At 43.4% G+C, this 19,670-nt stretch overlaps 1 long non-coding RNA gene and 3 pseudogenes across 1 annotated transcript in view; 2 read left to right on the plus strand and 2 right to left on the minus strand.

Annotated features, from left to right (window-relative positions):
* The window catches only part of LOC339539 (uncharacterized), a 31,171-nt gene extending 27,049 nt beyond the window's left edge, over nucleotides 1-4,122 (plus strand). The window contains exon 4 of the long non-coding RNA NR_104171.1: nucleotides 2,002-4,122. This is a non-coding gene — a long non-coding RNA (uncharacterized LOC339539). The remainder of the gene's footprint in view (nucleotides 1-2,001) is intronic.
* Nucleotides 1,681-4,051, minus strand: LOC100420252 (transmembrane channel like 6 pseudogene; annotated as a pseudogene).
* MKRN8P (makorin ring finger protein 8, pseudogene) lies at nucleotides 4,961-7,770 on the minus strand (annotated as a pseudogene).
* Nucleotides 18,444-19,442, plus strand: ATP6V1E1P1 (ATPase H+ transporting V1 subunit E1 pseudogene 1; annotated as a pseudogene).
* The last annotated feature ends 228 nt before the right edge of the window (nucleotides 19,443-19,670 follow it).

Below are 19,670 nucleotides of genomic sequence, written 5' to 3' on the forward strand. Positions count from 1 at the left end.
TTTCGAAGTATATTCTATAGGTTATGTGATTAATTACAAACAGGAAAACATGTTTGTAATGGAGATCTGATGGACACTACCTTAACCAAGTGGTCAAACTTATCACCAATAATGAGACAAACTGACATTAGGTGCCTCTTGATGTGAAGTAATAGGAAGTATGCAGCATCATGTATGTAGTATTTTTGCCAAAATGATTAACCTGAATCTAACTATGGGAGAAGAGTGAGATGAATCCAGATTGTAGAACATTCAACAAGGCAACTTCTTTGGACTTTTCAAAAATATTAGTGTTATGAAAAACTATATATATGTGTGTGTGTGTGTGTGTTATATGCATACATGCATTTGTGTGTATACTATTCTAGATTAAAGATTAAGATTCAAGGGCTAGGCATAGTGGTTCATGCGGTGTAGTGGTTCATGCCTATAATCCCAGTACTTTGGGAGGCCAAAGCAGGAGGATTACTGGAGTTCAGGAGTTCGAGACTAACCTAGGCAACATGGCGAGAACTTGTCTCTATTTTTCAAAAATGTAAAAAGAAAAATTAAAGGATACTAAAAATGCCTGATAACCATATGCAATGTGGTATCCCTAATTAGAACAAATAAGAAAGAAGTTAGAAAAGAAATTTTGGGGAGAATTGATGAAATTTTAATATGTTATATAATTAGATACAATTATATTAATGTTAAATTTATTGGATGTGATAATGGCATTGTGGATATATAGGAGAATGTTCTTGTTCTTAAACAGAGGCATGCTGAAGTGTTTTGATTTAAAATGCCATGATGTCTGCAACTCTCAAATGGTTCAACAAAAAAGAAAAAATTATATAGATAAGTAAAATGTGGCAAAATGTTAACAATCAGTGAATTTAGGTGATGGAGAAACTATTAATTCATTATACTATAATTTCACCTTTTGTGGAGATTTTTTTTGTTATTATTTTATTTTATTTGAGACAGAGTCTTGCTCTGTTGCCTGGGCTGGAGTGCGATATCGTGATCTTGGCTCACTGCAACCTCTGCCTCCCGGGTTCAAGTGATTCTCCTGCCTCAGCCTCCCTAGTAGCTGGGATTACAGGCACGAGCCACCATGCCAGGCTAATTTTTTGTATTTTTAATAGAGACAAGTTTTGCCATGTTGGCCAGCCTGGTCTCGAACTCCTGGCTTCAAGTGATCCGTCCACCTCGGCCTCCCAAAGTGCTGGGATTACAGGCGTGAGCCACTGCACCCGGCCGATATTATTTTCCAAAATAAAAAGTTGGGGAAAAAAAACTGAAAACAAAACAAAACAAAATGCACCCTTTTTCTGACACCATTCACTTGAAAAAAAAATTAACAAAATAGAATCTTATTGTAATTGGAAAGAGGCAAGAGCAGTAAAAGATAGAAAGAATATATGCAGTGCAGCCATTTCGGAGACGTTAATCTTACTTGGTTGACCACCCACTGTGTTCTTGAAACTCTCACAGTGATGGTCACAAGAATAGAAACATTCCATAACTTTTGTTCGTTTCTCTCCTCTCTCTTCATAAGATCTAGCTGATCTGTATAGTTTCTCTTGAATTTGCTGACTTAACTAATTTTATTTCTTTTAGTTAATCTTGATGCCTTTCCCTCTTTCCCTCTTCTTATATGATAAATTCACCTTCTTAATGATGTCTTTTCTTTTCTGCAAAACCCCTTTAATCAGAATAAATAGAGTCCCAGGCAGGGCAGAGTTCACTGGGGGTGTCCAAGTCGGATTCACCCACCCTTTCGGTTCCAGCCTAGGCACGGCTACAGCTTTCGAGAGGAGAAGCAGACTCTTCCTTGTCCTGGTGTCCCAGCGGGGTCACTGGGAGGGACCAGTGTGGTCTCAGGGCGCTGGGCGGGCCTGCGAGGCCCATTGCCGGCCCCCTAGGCATCCCGTTCGTCTGAGCAGGGCAGGGGGTGCCGCAGCCTCCTGGGTTGTCCCAACCCTGCTCCTCTCCTCCCTCTCCTTCTTCTTGTAGATGGAGTGAAGCTTGTTGATTAAGAAGATTTTGTCTTCCCCCTCGTTGCTGATCTGCTCCTTGAGCAGGCAGATGACCTTCCTCTGGTCCAGCACCACCTGGATGTTGAGGTAGATCACAGCCAGCAGCAGGGCCAACACCAGGAAGACGAAGAAGGTGTTTTCCACCAGGTACCGGTGCGCCCAGGGCAGCCAGGAGCCCCTGGGGCCCGCTGCCTCCAGTTGGGGCACCCACATCCTGCGGGCCTCGTACATGGTGTCCAGGGTCCGGAAGGGGCCGCAGATGGCTGAGGGTGTAGCAGAGGCCAGACGGCATAGCAGAGGAAGAGGTGGCGCCCAGGAAAGCGGGGAAGCAGAGCAGCGTGAGGAAGATGGTGCTCACGTGGGAGGCCAGCCAAGGCCGGAGCAGTGCCTGGCAGTTGGCCAAAAGGCTGGTCTACTTGACGTAGAAGACGAGCAGCAGCTTGATGATCTGCACCGCGTGGAGGAGCGGCGAGAAAGAGCACCCCCAGCCAGGTCAGAGTCGGCCCGTAAATCAGCTCCAGAACATTCCGGGCAATGTCAAACTCAGGCTTCCGTCTCCTCTTCAGCTTCTTCTCGGAGATAATCCTCCACATCAATTCCCCGAAAAGCGTGTCCAGCACGTGAGGACGAGTCCATCACCAGGAACCCATACAGCACGGGTTCCTCCCAGCACTGGCCCTGCAGGGCGCCCACCCTGCGGCCCTGCCAGTGGTAGCACAGTGTCCCCAGGATGGCCAGCTTGAGGATGAAGTTCCTGCAGATGGCCACGTACAACTCCAGCACCGGGGAGTCATGCAGCTCCAGGGCGGTCAGGCCAAGGCACGGGTAGGGGCCCCCCAGGTTGAGGGGGCCGACCACCAGAGGCAGGACCAGCAGCGCGGGCTCCTGGCCAGCAGCCTCCGGATTCTGCATCATGAACTCCGAGAAGATGTGGACGGCCACAGCGCAGCCCAGCGCAGTCCCCAGACACAGGAGCCACATGAGCCCCAGCATGGCCGCCTGCCGCAGCCTCCCGCACACGCTCCTGGGGCTCTGCCGCAGCTGCTGCTCGGGCCAGCAGCTCCTTCTCCCGGTGCGAATGTTGTCTGTTGTCTTGCTGAGGGCGGGGGGCCCGCTTCTGCCTCACCTTGCAGTCCCAGGAGCAGAAGATAGTGACGGCGTGGATGCCAGAGGTGCTGCCCACCCGGTATTAGCATTAGCTTAGCATTACTGTAGTGGCTGTAATACATGATGATGTGGGTGAAGCAGCCTGTGTCTTTGAGGAGCTCCAGGCCAGAGCAGATGCGGGCAGGGCCCGGCGGGGCGGGCGTGAAGGCGGCCTCCGGGCCCACAATGAAGGCCACGAGCAGCAGCAGCAGGAAGGCGTTGAAGGCCAGCAGGGTCTTAAGGAAGAGGAAGTAGGAGAGCACGTTGGAGCTGAACTAGCCCCTGATGCGCTTCAGGACGTAGCGCCACGGCTTCAGGGCCTGCAGGCCCAAGAGCAGCGCCAGCCCCAGGCTGTGCAAGGCCAGCACACAGACATATCTGAGCCAACCACAGCAGGAGCAGACTCTGCCATGGCCCCGCAGGCTCCTCCACTTCCCGCTCTGGGTTCGGCTCTTCTCTCGCAGGCCGCGTTTCTCAGCCAGGCTTAGGGGAATCCCTCGAAGCACGTGGTCCCGCTGCGCCACAGCCAGGCCCTGGAGCTCCTTCACCAGGAGGCTCCGCTTCTCCTCCTCTTCCTCCCAGGACGTGGGGTCCAGCTTCAGGTCGTACAGACGCAGGCTGTGCCGGGAGGAGCGCACCAAGTCTGCGAGCAGGGGCCGGCCAATGGTGAGGCTGGGAATGCTGGCCAGGACGCAGAGTGTGGCCGTGCTGTGGGTGCCCTCGGGCCCCAAGAGTGTCTGCTGGCCACTCGCTGTGGCCACCACCCCTCTCCCTCTGCTACAGCTCCAGCCCCTCCTGGGCCTCCCAGCGGCTCTGCTCTTGGATGAGCAAGTGGAAGGAGTAGTGCATTTCAGTCTCATCGTAGGGGCTGGGCTCCTGGCTGGGAGGCGCCAAGGTGGAGGGAATGATATCTTTTCAACAAGTGGAATTCACGTTAATAAATCAAAGGAGGAAAACTGTATGATCATCTCTCTTAATGACAGAAAAGCAAGCAATAAAATTCAGTTCCCCTTTAAAAATAAGAAGAGAACCTCCTTAATATGAAAGAGGGTATCTATAGCAAAACCTCTATCAAACCTCATACTTTAATGTGCGAGGAATGCTTCTAAACTTTGGAAGCATTTTATTTAACAGTAGTAACTAAACGAGCCAATAAAATGGGGGTACTTCTGTCACCATCAATGCTCACCATGATATTAGAGGTCCCGATCAATACAATAAGATCGGAAAAAGAAAGAGGGAGTATAAGGATTGGAGAGGAAGAGATTTATTTTCAGATTACACGATAATTCACATAGAAAATGATGATAAGAATAGCTAAATTTTTTTTTTTTTTGAGACAGGGTCTTGTTCTGTTGCCCAGGCTGGAGTGCAGTGGCACAATCTCAGCTCACTGCAACCTCTGCCCACTCGGCGGGCTCAAGCGATCCTCCCACCTCATCTTCCTGAGTAGCTGGGATCACAGGCATGCGCCACCACCCCCAGCTAATTGTTTTGTATTTTTTATAGAGACGGGGTTTTGCCATGTTGCCCAGGTTGGTCTGGAACTCCCGGACTCAAGTAATCCACTGGCCTTGGCCTCTCAAAGTGCTGGGACTACAGGCCTGAGCCATTGGCACCCAGCCAAGAATAGCTAAAATTTATTGAGCACCTAATATGTGCAAATGCTGTGCAGTAAGCATTACATGTATAATGCCTTTAATGTATAATTAATGCCATTTAACCCTACTTAAAAAAAAAAAAAACCCTAGAAGATAGGAACAATTATTCCTCACATCTTACAGATAGTGACTATTATTTGAATTGTTTTATTTGGGAAAAGTGCTTCTTACAAAAGGACAGCTGCAAAATACAGAGACCTCTGCAACAATTATTTGTATTTTCATAAAGTGAAAGAATGGGTGGGATCCAAGGAATCAAAGCAGTAAATGGACAAACCAGGAGCATCCCCGAGTTACTTTCAGGAAACAAAGCGACAAAACACAAAGGTAAAATTTCCAATCAAGGAATTCTTCAAATAACTTAATTTTAGCTAGTCTTAGGGATTCCCAAGCCCTCCCCTTCAGTGGAAAAGTATGACTTATTACTGCAAACCCATTAGTCCACTACAATAGACACCTTAGAACAGAGTTTTGTATCACATCTGTCTATGTGAAAACTCAGGGGTGGAATGAGGCAAATACCCACAAAAAAAAACACAAAAACTCGACAACAAAATGCCCCAAATGAAGACAAAGGTTTTTCAGAAAGTGCCTGTACTGGAAAAGCTAGATCATAAAACATTAAATACACAGTGTATCCAAGACCCAGTTTGTGTTAACATATGGGATAACCAGGTAGTTTTAACCTCTATGGCTAACCCCATTTCTCTGTTTATATAGACAGAGCTAGCACTGCTATATTGACAACTACCAATATAGTGCTTTGCCCTTTAAGATCTATCCTGCTGTACAAGGCTTAAACCACTAAACCACTTTTTTCTGCTAAGGCTAAGAATACTGCATCTATGCAGGGATGAGAAGCTTTTCACACACCCACACTCATACACATTATGTCAGCCCTTGGGAGTCAACTTCCAACTCTGCATTGATGTTATGCCTCTGTATCTTTTATATGTATTCTTTCTCAATTTTCCTAACATGCAAAACAGTAGAAATCTCAACACATTTGCACCTGGTTCTGGTTACCCAGTAGTATCACTTATGTACAATTAAACAAGAGACCAAAAACCACAGAACAAGTGCACGTGGTAGGGATTACAGGATAGGGAACAGATATAAAAACACAGATGTGCAGATTTCACCAGAAACCTCAAGGATCCACGTCCCATGTCTGGAGCAGAAGGCTATTGGCCAGCTTAGGTCCCTTCACCCATCACTCCTATTCTTGGACCCCAAAGCAGGACCACTGCTTTTACTTTTGAACCTGGGGTCCTCAAAATGAGTGTGTGAAAAGTCCATAAACACAATCTGGTTGAAAACAGATGGCGCAACACACCTACACTAACTGACGGTTAAATTCATGTTACAAAAAACTAACTTTAAGATTTATTTTTGTAAGTTTTTTCAACAGGGAAAACACACTCCTCGCGGAAAGGGTAGGGGTTGAGAAGACAGGCCCTGGGTAAAAATTCTTACCGCAGCACTTGGAGTTGATAGGCCTGCCTAGGAGAGAACACAGGCACTGCCACACCACCACAGGGGACAGCTGCTGTCTGGGGTCAGCAGACCAGTTCACACGCCATGCAAGGTTGTTATAGATCCAAGTCATAAAAATCTTCCAGCTTATCATGAAACAAGTCCCACTCATCTTCAGAGTCTGTCAGTCTATCGTCCCTACCTGCAGCCCAAAGCATAAGCAACATCTTGCCCAGCTCAGAGGTGACAACCTCTTCTTCATCGTTGTCAGAGGGGTTGCTGTTCTCTCTTTCCTCAATGAGTTCCCAGAAGTGGTTCCTTTGTTGGGCCCAGTATCGGCTTGATGTTCCCACTTTCTGTCTCTGTGGCTCCTTTCTATGGCCATCAGGGTACACATGCTTGTAAAAACAGTTCCCTCCAAAAGGGCAGCTCCCATGCTCTTTATCAAAATACCTGCACGCCTTGTTCCTCATCGCCTCCTTGTATTTCTGAATGAGTTTCTGCTTCTCTTCTTTCTCCTCCTCCCAGTACTCACTTGGAATGACAAAGTTAGATGTGATATGGCATTCTGGGCAGGACTTTATGATCTTGCTCTCAAATTGCTTAGCACTTCTCCACTTGCAAATGCACTTGAGAGAGTAGGTGTGGTTGCCGTTGGAGAGGATCCTGAAGTGGCACTTGCTGGGGTTGGCTTTCTCATAGACTGCCTACCTCCATGCAGATCCCACACACCAAGTCCTTGCTGTGCTGCACAGCCAATGAGAGCTCCATGTCCTTCTTGTGAGCCTCAATGCACGATTTTACATGCTGTGATCTCTAGGCAGCAACCATCGGATGCAGTACCTGCACCCCACACATGTCACATGAATCTCCGTGGAGATAACACAGAGTTCTCCCCATATTGGCACTCTCCCACTGCAGCATAGGGGCACAGCTGCTTCTTTGTTTCCATAGCAGTTTGCTCTTTCTCTGATTCTTCTGAGCCCTGCAGGGGAGCTTCAGTGCAGGAAGGCACAGTACAGCCACAGTAGGGTTGCCCAGGAACAAACTCAATAGTATTCACCCAGTCCTCTGAACCTGCTCATATAGTTGCAAAGTTTGAATTTCTTGACTCAGCTTTGCCTGTATTTATTTTGACAAGTGGTCCAACTATCGATGAGAGACTTGAGGAAGCAGCAAGGGACAACATTTTAGTTAGCTCTGTAGCAGTTGCTTCTTCCTGTTTCAGTGGCTTGCTATGTTCATATCTGCAGCGGTCTCCATAAATGCAGTACCCTTGCTGAAAATAATTGCACACTACACCATACAGACTGTCAGAGAGGTCATATGAGTAGTGACAGTTATCTCCTTCTTACAAACCCCATGCATAAAATACCTGCAGGTGACATGCCATCACTGCCGCTCCTGCTCCTGATATTGTGGCTGTAGTTCTGGGAGCTGCAGCATCCACCATTATTGTTTATGATAGCACAATTATTATTCCCATTTTACAATTAGTGACGCTAAGGCACAGAGAAGGTAAGAAATTCACTCAAGATCAAACCTAAACAGTTTGTTTCTAGGGCCTGAAGTTTCAACCACTATCCCATATTATAACTTACTGTCATCAACACAATTTCGTGGCAGACAAAGAGGTATGAAAAGTATTCAAGCTCTGGTGGAATAAAATTAATATGTCTTTACAGCTGAAGGAGAAGGCATATCAGTGATTCTCAACCTTGGCTGTATATTAGAGCCACCAGAGGAGATTTGAAAAATCCTGATGCCTAGGCTTTAGCCAGACCAATTACAGCAGAATTTTGGGAGATGGGTGGAAAGGTCACGCATGTAGTTGTTAAAAAACAAGTACATTAAAATATCATAAGATGGCCAGGCACAGTGACTCATGCCTGTAATGCTAGCCCTGTGGAAGGCCGAGGTGGGCGGATCACCTGAGGTCAGGAGATAGAGACCAGCCTGGCCAACATGGTGAGACCCCATCTCTACTAAAAATACAAAAATTAACTGAGTTGGGTGGCATGCACCTGTAATCCCAACTACTCGGGAGGCTGAGGCAGAAGAATCACTTGAACCCAGGAGGTGGAGGTTGCACTGAGCTGAAAGCATTCCAGCCTGGGCGACAGAGTGAGACTTTGTCTCAAAAAACAAAAAAAAAATTCTTAAGAGGCTCACGTATCTACTCAAATTGTGGTAGAAGTTTCTATTCTTGCAACCTGAGTGAGGTTGCAAACTTTGACCAGATGAATTACAGAAGGGTGTAATTTGAATCCAGTAGAAGGATATGGACTAGAAGTCCCCTGTTGTCATGGTGACTACAAAAAGGACTCACTGTATCCACATGTAGCTCAGGTAGAATCATTCTGGAAGCCTGCAAAGTTCAGATCCTGTTCCCCAATGTCAAATCTCTAACCGATAATGACCTTATTGTGTTAATAAATTTTCAACTCTATAGCTTCAACTTGTTTAAGATGTCAACCCCAGTTTTCCTGACAAGGTAACTATCTCACAGCCGTGAACTGTTGAGCCAGTCACCTCAACTTGGCCCCCTGAGATGGTAACTCTATCATGGTTGTCAATTCTTGACCTAGTAATCCGAACTCCCTGGAGATGCTAGAACTCAGTGAGTAAGTGGCTTTTCAAACCTGAAAAGGCTAGAATTAAAAATAGAGATGATAAATAAATCAAACCTATTATGTTAATAATTTTATGTTTATAATAAGTTCATGTGTGGAGGAGTATGGTACTTAAAGTGCAATTTTAATATAATATGGCATATTGAAGAATCCAATAGATTAGCTTAATTTGATCAATTAGACCTGTGAGGTGTATGAAAATTTAATTAGGGTTATAAACAGTATTGAAATATTTGACAATTAGACCTAATAGATTTACATGTTTAATATACATAATAATTTTTAGTTGAGTACTTGGGAAGGATTTGCTTATCAGGGATGGAAAATTTTTGTTTTTTTTTTAAATTTATATTTATTTTAAAAAATTTCCCACAGGTTATTGGGGTACAGGTGGTGTTTGGTTACATGAGTAAGTTCTTTAATGGTGATTTGTGAGATTTTGGTGCACCCATCACCCGAGCAGTCTACACTTCACCCTATTTGTAGTCTTTTATCCCTCGCCCCCTCCCACCCTTCTCCCCAAGTCCCCAAAGTCCATTGTATCATTCTTTTTTTTTTTTTTTTTTTTGAGATGGAGTCTTGCTCTGTTACCCAGGCTGGAGTGCAGTGGCGCAATATCCGCTCACGGCAAGCTCCGCCTCCTGGGTTCACACCATTCTCCTGCCTCAGCCTCCTGAGTAGCTGGGACTACAGGCGCCCGCCACCACACCTGGCTAATTTTTTGTATTTTTAGTAGAGTTGCGGTTTTACCGTGTTAGCCAGGATGGTCTCGATCTCCTGACCTCATGATCCACCTGCCACGACCTCCCAAAGTGCTGGGATTACAGGCGTGAGCCACCGCACCTGGCCCATTGTGTCATTCTTATGCCTTTGCATTCTCACAGCTTAGTTCCCACATATCAGTGAGAACACACAGTGTTTGGTTCTCCATTCCTAAGTTACTTCACTTAGAAGAACAGACTCCAATCTCATCCACGTCACTGCAAATGCTGTTAATTCATTCCTTTTTATGGGTGAGTAGTATTCCATTGCATACATATGCCACAGTTTCTTTATTCACTCATCAATTGATGGGCATTTGGGTTTGTTCCACGACTTTGCAATTGCGAATTGTGCTGCTATAAACATGTGTGTGCAAGTATCTTTTTCATATAATGACTTCTTATATTGACTTACCCAGTAGTGGGATTGCTGAATCAAATGGTAGTTCTACTTTTAATTCCTTAAGAAGCCTTCGTACTGTTTTCCATAGTGGTTGTACTAGTTTACATTCCCACTAGCAGTGTAGAAATGCTCCCTGATCATCTCATCCATGCCAACATCTACTGTTTTTTATTTTTTGATTGTGGCCATTCTTGCAGGAGTAGGGTGATATCACCTTGTGGTTTTGATTTGCATTACCCTGATCATTAGTGATGTCAAGCATTTTTTCATATGTTTGTTGGGTATTTGTATATCTTCTTTTGAGAATTATCTATTCATGTCCTTAGCCCACTTTTTGATGGGATTGTTTGTTTTATTTCTTGCTGATTTGTTTGAGTTCATTGTAGATTCTGGATATTAGTCCTTTGTCAAATGCATAAATTGTGAAGATTTTTTCCCACTCTGTGGGTTGTCTGTTTATTCTACTGACCATTCCTTTTGCCATGCAAAAGCTCCTTAGTTTAATTAAGTTCCAGCTATTTATCTTTGTTTTTATTGCATTTGCTTTTGGGTTCTTGGTCATGAAATCCTTAAGCCAATGTCTAGAAGGGTTTTTCCAGTGTTATCTTCTAGTATTTTTCTAGTGTCAGGTCTTAGATTTAAGTCCTTAATCCTTCGTGGGTTGATTTTGGTTTAAGGTGAGAGATGAGGATCCAGTTTCATTCTCCTACTTGTGGCTAGCCAATTATCCTGGTGCCATGTGTTGAAAAGGGTGTCCCTTCCCCACTTTATGTTTTTGTTTGCTTTGTTGAAGATCAGTTGGCTGTAAGTATTTGGTTTATTTTTGGGTTCTCTATTCTGTTCCATTGGTCTATGTGCCTATTTTTATACTAGTACTATGCTGTTTTGGTGACTATGGCCTTATAGTATAGTCTGAAATCAGGTAGTGTGATGCCTCCAGATTTGTTCTTTTTGCTTAGTCTTGCTTTGGCTATGTGGGCTCTTTATTGGTTCCATATGAATTTTAGAATTTTTTTATAATTCTGTGAAGAATGATGGTGGTATTTTGAAGGCAATTGCATTGAATTTGTAGATTGCTTTTGGCAGTATGGTCATTTTCACAATATTTATTCTACCCATCCATGAGCATGGGATATGTTTCCATTTGTTTGTGTTATCTATGATTTCTTTCAGCAGTGTTTGTATTTTCCTTGTAGAGGTCTTTTGCTTCATTGGTTAGATATATTCCTAAGTATTTTATTTATTTATTTATTTTTGTAGCTATTGTAAAAGGGGTTGAGGTCTTGATTTGGTTCTCTGCTTGGTTGCTGTTGGTGTATAGAAGAGCTACTGATTTGTGTATATTAATCTTGTAACCAGAAACTTTGCTGAATTCTTTGATCAGTTCGAGGAGCTTTCTGGAGGGGTCTTTAGGGTTTTCAAGGTAAACAATCATATTGTCAGCAAACGGTGACAGTTTGACTTCCTCTTTACCGATTTGGATGCCCTTTATTTCTTTCTCTTGTCTGGTTGTTCTGGCTAGGACTTCCGGTACTATGTTGAAGAGAAATAGTGAGAGTGGGCATCCTTGTCTTGTTCCAGTTCTCAGAGGGAATGCTTTCAACTTTTCCCCATTTGGTCTTATGTTGGCTGTGGGTTTGCCATAGATGGTTTTTATTACATTGAGGTATGTCCCTTGTATGCTGATTTTGCTGAGAGTTTTAATCACAAATGGATGATGGATTTTGTCGAATGCTTTTTCTGTCTCTATTGAGATGATCATGTGATTTTTGTTTTTAATTCTGTTTATGTGATGTATCACATTTATTGGCTTGCCCATGTTAAGCCATCCTTGCATCCCTGGTATGAAACACACTTGATCATGGTGGATTATCTTTTTGATATGTTGTTGGATTTGGTTAGCTAGTATTTTGTTAAGGATTTTAGCATCTAAGTTAAGCAGGGATATCAGCCTGCTGTTTTCTTTTTTGGTTATGTCCTTCCCTGGTTTTGGTATTAGGGTGACACTGGCTTCATAGAATGAATTAGGGAGGGTTCCCTCTTTCTCTATCTTGTGGAATAGTGTCAAAAGGATTGGTACCAATTCTTCTTTGAATGTGTGGTAGAATTCTGCTGTGAATTTGTCTGGTCCTGTACTTTTTATTTGTTGGTAACTTTCTAATTACCACTTTAATCTCGCTGCTTGTTATTGGTCTGTTCAGGGTATCTAATTCTTCCTGATTTAAGCTAGGCGGGTTGTATTTTTCCAGGAATTTACCCATCTCTTCTAGATTTTCTAGTTTATGTGCACAAAGGTGATCATAGTAGCCTTGAATGATCTTTTGTATTTCTGTGGTGTCAGTTGGAATATCTCCCACTTCATTTCTTATTGAGGTTATTTGGATTTTCTCTCTTCTTTTCTTGGTTAATCTTGTTAATGGTCTATCAATTTTATTTATCTTTTCAAGGAACCAGCTTCTTGTTTCATTTACCTTTTGTATTTTTTTCATTTCAATTTCATTTAGTTCTTCTCTGATCTTGGTTATTTCCTTTCTTCTGCTGGATTTGCGTTTGGTTTGTTCTTGTTTCTCTAGTTCCTTGAAGTGTGACTTGAGAATGTCAGTTTGTGCTCTTTCAGTCTTTTTGATGTAGGCATTTAGGGCTATGAACTTTTCTCTTAGCACTGCCTTTGCTGTATCCCAGAGGTTTTAATAGGTTGTGTCATTATTGTTGTTATGTTAAAAGAATTTTTAAATTTCAATCTTGCTTTTGTTTTTGACCCAGTGATCATTCAGGAGTAGTTTATTTAATTTCAATGTATTTGCATGGTTTTGAAGGTTTCTTTAGGAGATGATTTCCAGTTTTATTCCACTGTGGTCTGAAAGAGTGCTTAATATAATTTCAATTTTCTTAAATTTATTGAGGCTCCTTTTGTGGCCTATCATACGGTCTATCTTGGAGAAAGTTCCATGCACCGTTGAATAGGATGTGTATTCTCGGGTTGTTGGATGGAATATTCTGTATATATCTGTTAAGTCCATTTGTTCCAAGGTATAGTTTAAATTCATTGTTTCTTTATTGACTTTCTGTCATGATGACCTATATAGTGCTGTCAGTGGAGTATTGAAGTCCTCTACTATTATTGTGTTGGTGTCTATCTCATCTCTTAAGTCTATTAGTAATTGTTTTATAAATTTGGGAGCCCCAGTGTTAGCTGCATATATGTTTAGAATTGTGATATTTTCCTGTTGGATAAGGCTTTTTACCATTATATAATGTCTCTGTCTTTTTAAACTGCTGTTGTTTTAAAGTTTGTTTTGTCTGATATAAGAATAGCTACCCCCACTCACTTTTGGTGTCCATTTGCATGAAATGCCCTTTTCCACCCTTTTACTTTAAGTTTATATGAATCCTTATGTGTTAGGTGAGTCTCTTGAAGGCAGCAGATAATTAGTCGGTGAATTCTTATCCATTCTGCAGTTCTGTATCTTTTAAGTGGAGCATTTAGGTCTTTTACATTCAATGTTAGTATTGAGATGTGAGGTACAATTCCATTCATCATGCTATTTGTTGCCTGTGTACCTTGATGTTTTTTGTTGTTGTTGTTGTTTTATAGGTCCTATGAGATTTATGCTTTAAAGAGGTTTTGTTTTCATGTGTTTCCAGCATTTGTTTCAAGATTTAAAGCCCCTTTGAGCAGTTCTTGTAGTGGTGGCTTGGTAGTGATGAACTCTCTCAGCATTTGTTTGTCTGAAAAAGACTGTATCTTTCCTTCTATATGGAGCTTAGTTTTGCTGGATACAAAATTCTTGGCTGATAATTGTTTTGTTTGAGGAGGCTGAAGATAGGGCCTCAATCCCTTCTAGCTTATAGGGCTTCTGCTGAGAAATCTGCTGCTAATCTGATAGGTTTTCCTTTATAGGTTACCTGGTGCTTTTGTCTCACAGCTGTTAGGATTTTTTCCTTTGTCTTAATTTTAGATAACCTGATGACAATGTGCCTAGGTGATTATCTTTTTGCAATGAACTTCCCAGGTGTTCTTTGCACTTCTTGTATTTGGATGTCTAGGTCTCTAGCAAGGCTGGGGAAGTTTTCCTTGATTATTCCCCCAAATATGTTTTCCAAATTTTTAGATTTCTCTTCTTCTTCAGGAACACCGACTATTCTTAGGTTTGGTCATTTAACATAATCCCAGACTTCTTGAAGGCTTTGTTCATGTTTTCTTGTTCTTTTTTCTTTGTCTTTGTTGGACTGGGTTAATTTGAAGACCTTGTCTTTGAGCTCTGAATTTCTTTCTTCTACTTGTTCAATTATATTGCTGAGACTTTCCAGAGCATTTTGCATTTCTCTAAGTGTGTCCAATGTTTCCTGAAGTTTTTATTGTTTTTTCTTTATGCTATCTATTTTCTTGAATATTTCTCTCTTCTCTTCTTTATCGTTTTTTGGATTTCCTTGCATGGGGCTTCACCTTTCTCTGGTGCCTCCCTGATTAGCTTAATAAACCTGCTGAATACTTTTTCAGGTAAATCAGGGATTTCTTCTTGGTTAGGATTCATTGCTGGTGAGCTAGTGTGACTTTTGGTGGGTGTTTAAGAGCCTTGTTTTATCATATTACCAGGGTTGCTTTTCTGGCTCCTTCTCATTTGGGTAGGCTCTGTCAAAGTGAAGGGCTAGGGCTAGAGGCAGTTGTTCAGATTCTTTTGTCCGATGGGGTGTTCCTTTGATGTAGTACTCTCCCCGCTTCCCTATGGATGTGGCTTCCTGAGAGCCGAGCTGTAGTGATTGTCATCTCTCTTCTGGGTCTAGCCACCCAGCAAGTCTACCAGGCTCTGTGGTAATACTGGGGGTTGTCTTCACAGAGTCCTGTGATGTGAACCATCTATGGTTCTCTCAGCTGTGGATACCAGCTCCTGTTCCAGTGGAGGTGGCAGGGTGGTGAAATGGACTCTATGAGGGTTCTTAGCTTTTGTGGTTTAGTGCTCTATTTTTTTGCTGGCTGGCCTTCTGCTGGGAGGTGGTGCTTTCCAGAGAGCATCTGCTGTGGCAGTATGAAGAGGAACTGGTGGTGGATGGGGCCCTAGAACTCTCAAAAGTATATGTCCTTTGTCTTCAGCTATCAAGGTGGGTAGGGAAGGACCACCAGGTGCGGGCAGGGCTAGGGATGTCTGAGCTCAGACTCCCTTGGGTGGGTCTTGCTGCGGCTTCTGTGGGGGATGGGAGTGAGGTTCCCAGGTCAATGGAGTTATGTTCCTAGGAGGATTATGGCTGCCTCCGCTGAGTCACACAGGTTGTCAGGGAAGCGGGGGAAAGCTGGCAGTCACAAGCCTCACCCAGCTCCCACACAATCCAAAGGGCCAGTCTCACTCCCACTATGCCCCCGCTAATAGCACCGAGTCTGTTTCCAGGCAGTGGGTAAGCAGGGCTGAGAACTTGCCCCAGGCTACCTGCCTCCCAGCTGCAAAAGAAAAGGGCTTTAGTTCTTCCCACACCTGTGGAGTCTGCACACAGGATTCACATCCTCCCCCAAGTTCTAATCAGGAGGCTTCTCAACTAGTTCAAATTGTTACAAAGTTCATCTGGAGACTTTCTTCTCTCTGTGGCATTTTCCCTGCACCTCTGGCCACCCTCTCAAACGAGCCCTGTGATGCCAGGCAGGAATGGCCTGCTTAGGGACTCAGCAAGCTCCCAGGGCCTTTCCCACTGCTTCCTCTACCCCTGTATTTCACTTGGCTTTCTAAATTGACTCAGCTCCAGGTAAGGTCGAAATCTTCTCCCAAAAACTAGACCTTCAGTTTCCCTGGTGGCGGTGTGTGTTCAGGGGCGGAGGATCTCCCTTTCCCACTTCCGCAGTTTGCGTACTCACAGTATTTGGGGTGTCTCCCAGGTCTTGCAGGAGCAGTTCACTTCCTTCAGAGGGCCTGTGGGTCCTCACAGGATTCCTGACTTATTCCTGCAGTCGTTCTGGAGCTAAAACTCACCATGCAAGCCTCCACATGCTGCTCTGTCCATCAGAGTCAGAGCTGCAATCTAGTCCTGCCTCCTCAGGGATGGAACTTGATTGATTAGGCATATGACAGGTACAGAATGAAAAAGAATATAAACATTTACAAATTCAGTTAAAATTCTAATATAATTACATTGTATAAGCTTATAAGTGAGACTGTTTAAGAGTTTAGATAGTTCTACCTGAGTTACTTGAACAATTATAAAAGATCCCCTTAAACTGAATTATTTTATATAAGTTCAGTTTATAAGTATACTATTCTATCTGTAAATCCATATAATAGATATATATAATAGACTTACAGATAGAATAGTATACTTATGAACTGAATTTTAAGACATAAATAAACCTAGGTATTGAGTTTTAAATTAATAAATTAAATATTAACTTAAAACCTAAGCTCTTGTAAGTAGTCTTTTATTTTGTGCTCACAGAATCTGCCCTCAGACATGAAAAAAAAATTACATGACACTATTGTTATCTGCATTTAACAGACGAATAAACTAACACTTAGAAAGGTTAAGAAGCCAGAATCAGCTCCATGAATGTCTGGCTCTAAAACCTGTGTCCCCACTGAACATATGGCTTCCTTGACTGACCAACCCCCTAAAGAGCCAGGTGACTTGGGAACAATTAAATTTTTCGAAGTAACTTTACTAAGGTCTGATTATATGTATTATAGATTGATTTTATAGATAAGCAGTCAATTTCAGCTTAAGGAAAGATAATTTTTTGGCTCACGTAGCTGAAAAGTCCGGCCTCAGACGTGGTAGCTACAGACTGTGTTGGCTCCATTCAGAGACAGGCTTTCTTTCCCTTTGTGGTACAAGACCACTGGAGCTATCCCTCTGGGCTAAAGTATAGCTAAAACATGGACTGCCTCTCTTCTAATTGTTCTCACAAAAGAATCATTGCATCTCACTGAAGAGTAGGTCATGGGTCCATTCTGGAACTAATCACTGTGACCAGGGGAAGGTGATGCTTTAATGGTCATGCCTGGGGTCAGAAGTTGACCCTTGGAGTTCGGGGTGGAATTAACTATACCATAAACATATGGACTGAGAGTAGGGAAGGAACAATCTTCCTTGAAAAGGGTGATTGGATGGCAGGCAGCCAAAATAGATGTCCAGTATAGTAGGCAACCTTACCTCTCTCACTTCAAAGTTCTTTGTATTACCTCACTCTATCATTCATATTTACTGCTGACATTTACTCTTTCTTTTGGCCAAGAATCATGATACTACACTATAACTTAATTGTGTGTCCTTTATTTCTCCTGTGACTGCATGTTGAAGGCAAGGGATATCTGTCTTGCTTTTCTTCAGCGACCTACGTAAATGCTTGTCTAAATGAATAAAACCTAGATTACAGGATACTGGGTTTGTTACTTAAGAGAAGAAATGTTGGAAAAGTGTTTTCAGGGTTTTGTAGGTGGTAGCTCTGTAGTGTAAGGAGGAAAAGTCAAATTCACTAAACGCTTATTGATAACTTCTTTGTGTTGGGCTGATCTCTCTTGCGGACAGTGTTCCAGTGGCCCTCAAAGAGCAACCAGTCTAAGCCAGGTGTGGTGACTTGCACCTGTAGTCCCAGTTACTCGGGAGGCTGAGGTGGGAGGACTGATTGAGCCTGGGAGGCTGACGCTGCAGTGAGCCATGATTGTGCCATGCACTCCGGCCTGGGTGACAGAGCAAGACCCTGTCTTAAAAACAAACAAAAAACAACGAGCAACTAGTCTAGAGGAAGAGACTGGATGAAGGGTATTGGTTACTGTGATTTGGTTTTGGCCTAGATCTAGGTTATTATGGATTGCCTAGAGCCTTGGTAATAGATTGAGTACTGGAGAAGGTTTGGGTTACCATATATGACGTTGGTTGGGTTAAAGATTCTTATTTTTCATTTATTGAGCATCCATGTCAAATTCTTGACACTTAGAGCCTGGGGCATGGGAATAAGCAGGTCAGAAGACTCCCAGGATAGGCCCAGGTCTTGACTCAGGGTTATACCCATTACTCTGCTAACAGTGTGAGGAACCTACCTAAAAATAGAGATTGAGATACTCACCAAAGCACAGACATAGGGGCAGACTGGGATAAAGCACAGACCCATGCTGCCAGGCACCCAGTGAAACAGTGCATTTTCCCAAAGACAGCATGACTCCTGAGGTGGAAGCATTACTGCCCAGTTTCAGAGGGAAGCTGTGAGGGGTGTCTGGGCTTGAGACTCAGTTTAGTAGAATTGCTCATACTTTTTACTTGGGCTGTGCAGAGGAAAGACATCTATAAAAAATTGCACTCATTTGGAGAACCTGACTGTGGTCATTTTGAAGCCAAGGCTTGCTTAGAAAGTGTGGAAATTAATAAAGTAAAGGAAATTGATAAAGATCTGCACAGGGGTTTCCTCTGCCCAATCCTCCCACCTTCCCCTTCAAACTTAAACTCGAGCCTGCTGCTCTCCGGCCTAGCATTGCTCTTGCCATGGCTGTCAGTGATGCTGACATGCGAAAGCAGATAAAGCATATGATGGCTTTCATTGAATAAGAAGCCAATGAGAAAGCAGAAGAAATAGATGCAAAGGCAGAAGAAGAGTTCAACATAGAGAAAGGTCAGCTTGTGGAAACCCAAAGACTAAAGATTATGGAATATCATGAGAAGAAAGAGAAACAGATTGAGTAGCAGAAGAAAATTCAGATATCCAATTTGATGAATCAAGCAAGGCTCAAAGTCCTCAGAGCGAGAGATGACCTTATCACAGACCTACTAAATGAAGCAAAACAGAGACTCAGCAAGGTGGTAAAAGATACAACCAGGTACCAAGTGCTGCTAGATGGACTGGTTCTCCAGGGTTTGTACCAGTTGCTGGAGCACCGAATGATTGTTCGTTGCAGGAAACAAGACCTTCCTCTGGTAAAGGCTGCGGTGCAAAAGGCAATCCCTATGTACAAAATTGCCACCAAAAACAATGTTGATGTCCAAATCGACCAGGAGTCCTACCTGCCTGAGGACATAGCTGGTGGAGTTGAGATCTATAATGGTAATCATAAAATAAAGGTTTCCAAAACCCCAGAAAGCCAGCTGGATCTCATAGCCCAGCAGATGATGCTAGAAGTCCAGGGAGCCTTCTTTGGTGCAAAAGCCAACAGGAAATTTTTGGACTAAGCCTTCAGGAGGTAGAGCACGTTCTCAGCTCTCCTGCTATGATGTGGAAGATTCTGATATTTGAAGAAACGCGAATGTTTCTGTAGCTTCCTCTTTACTGCCCCAATATTGCTTTGCATTTATCAGTGATGCCCCTCTGACACTAACGCCTTGCCTAATTATTCACAATGGTGGGAAGCTTCATGTAATATGATCAGGACCCACCTCCAGTTCATCTGAAAGTAACACAGCATCCAGTTGGTTCTGCAGCACTAGGGGAGGGGGCAGAGGTGGTTGCATGGGCTTCCTGGGTCTCGGCTTTCCATCTGGCCTAGAGGTGATGTGTTTGGTGTTCCTAGCCCTGCAGTCCCCACTCTTGAGGCTTAAGGCGCATGTGGCACACCACTCCTTCCAGCAGTAGTCGCTTCACTGTTACCTGTTTAGGCCTA

Source organism: Homo sapiens, chromosome 1 (assembly GCF_000001405.40).
Source record: "Homo sapiens chromosome 1, GRCh38.p14 Primary Assembly".
Classification (NCBI taxonomy): Eukaryota; Metazoa; Chordata; class Mammalia; order Primates; family Hominidae; genus Homo; species Homo sapiens.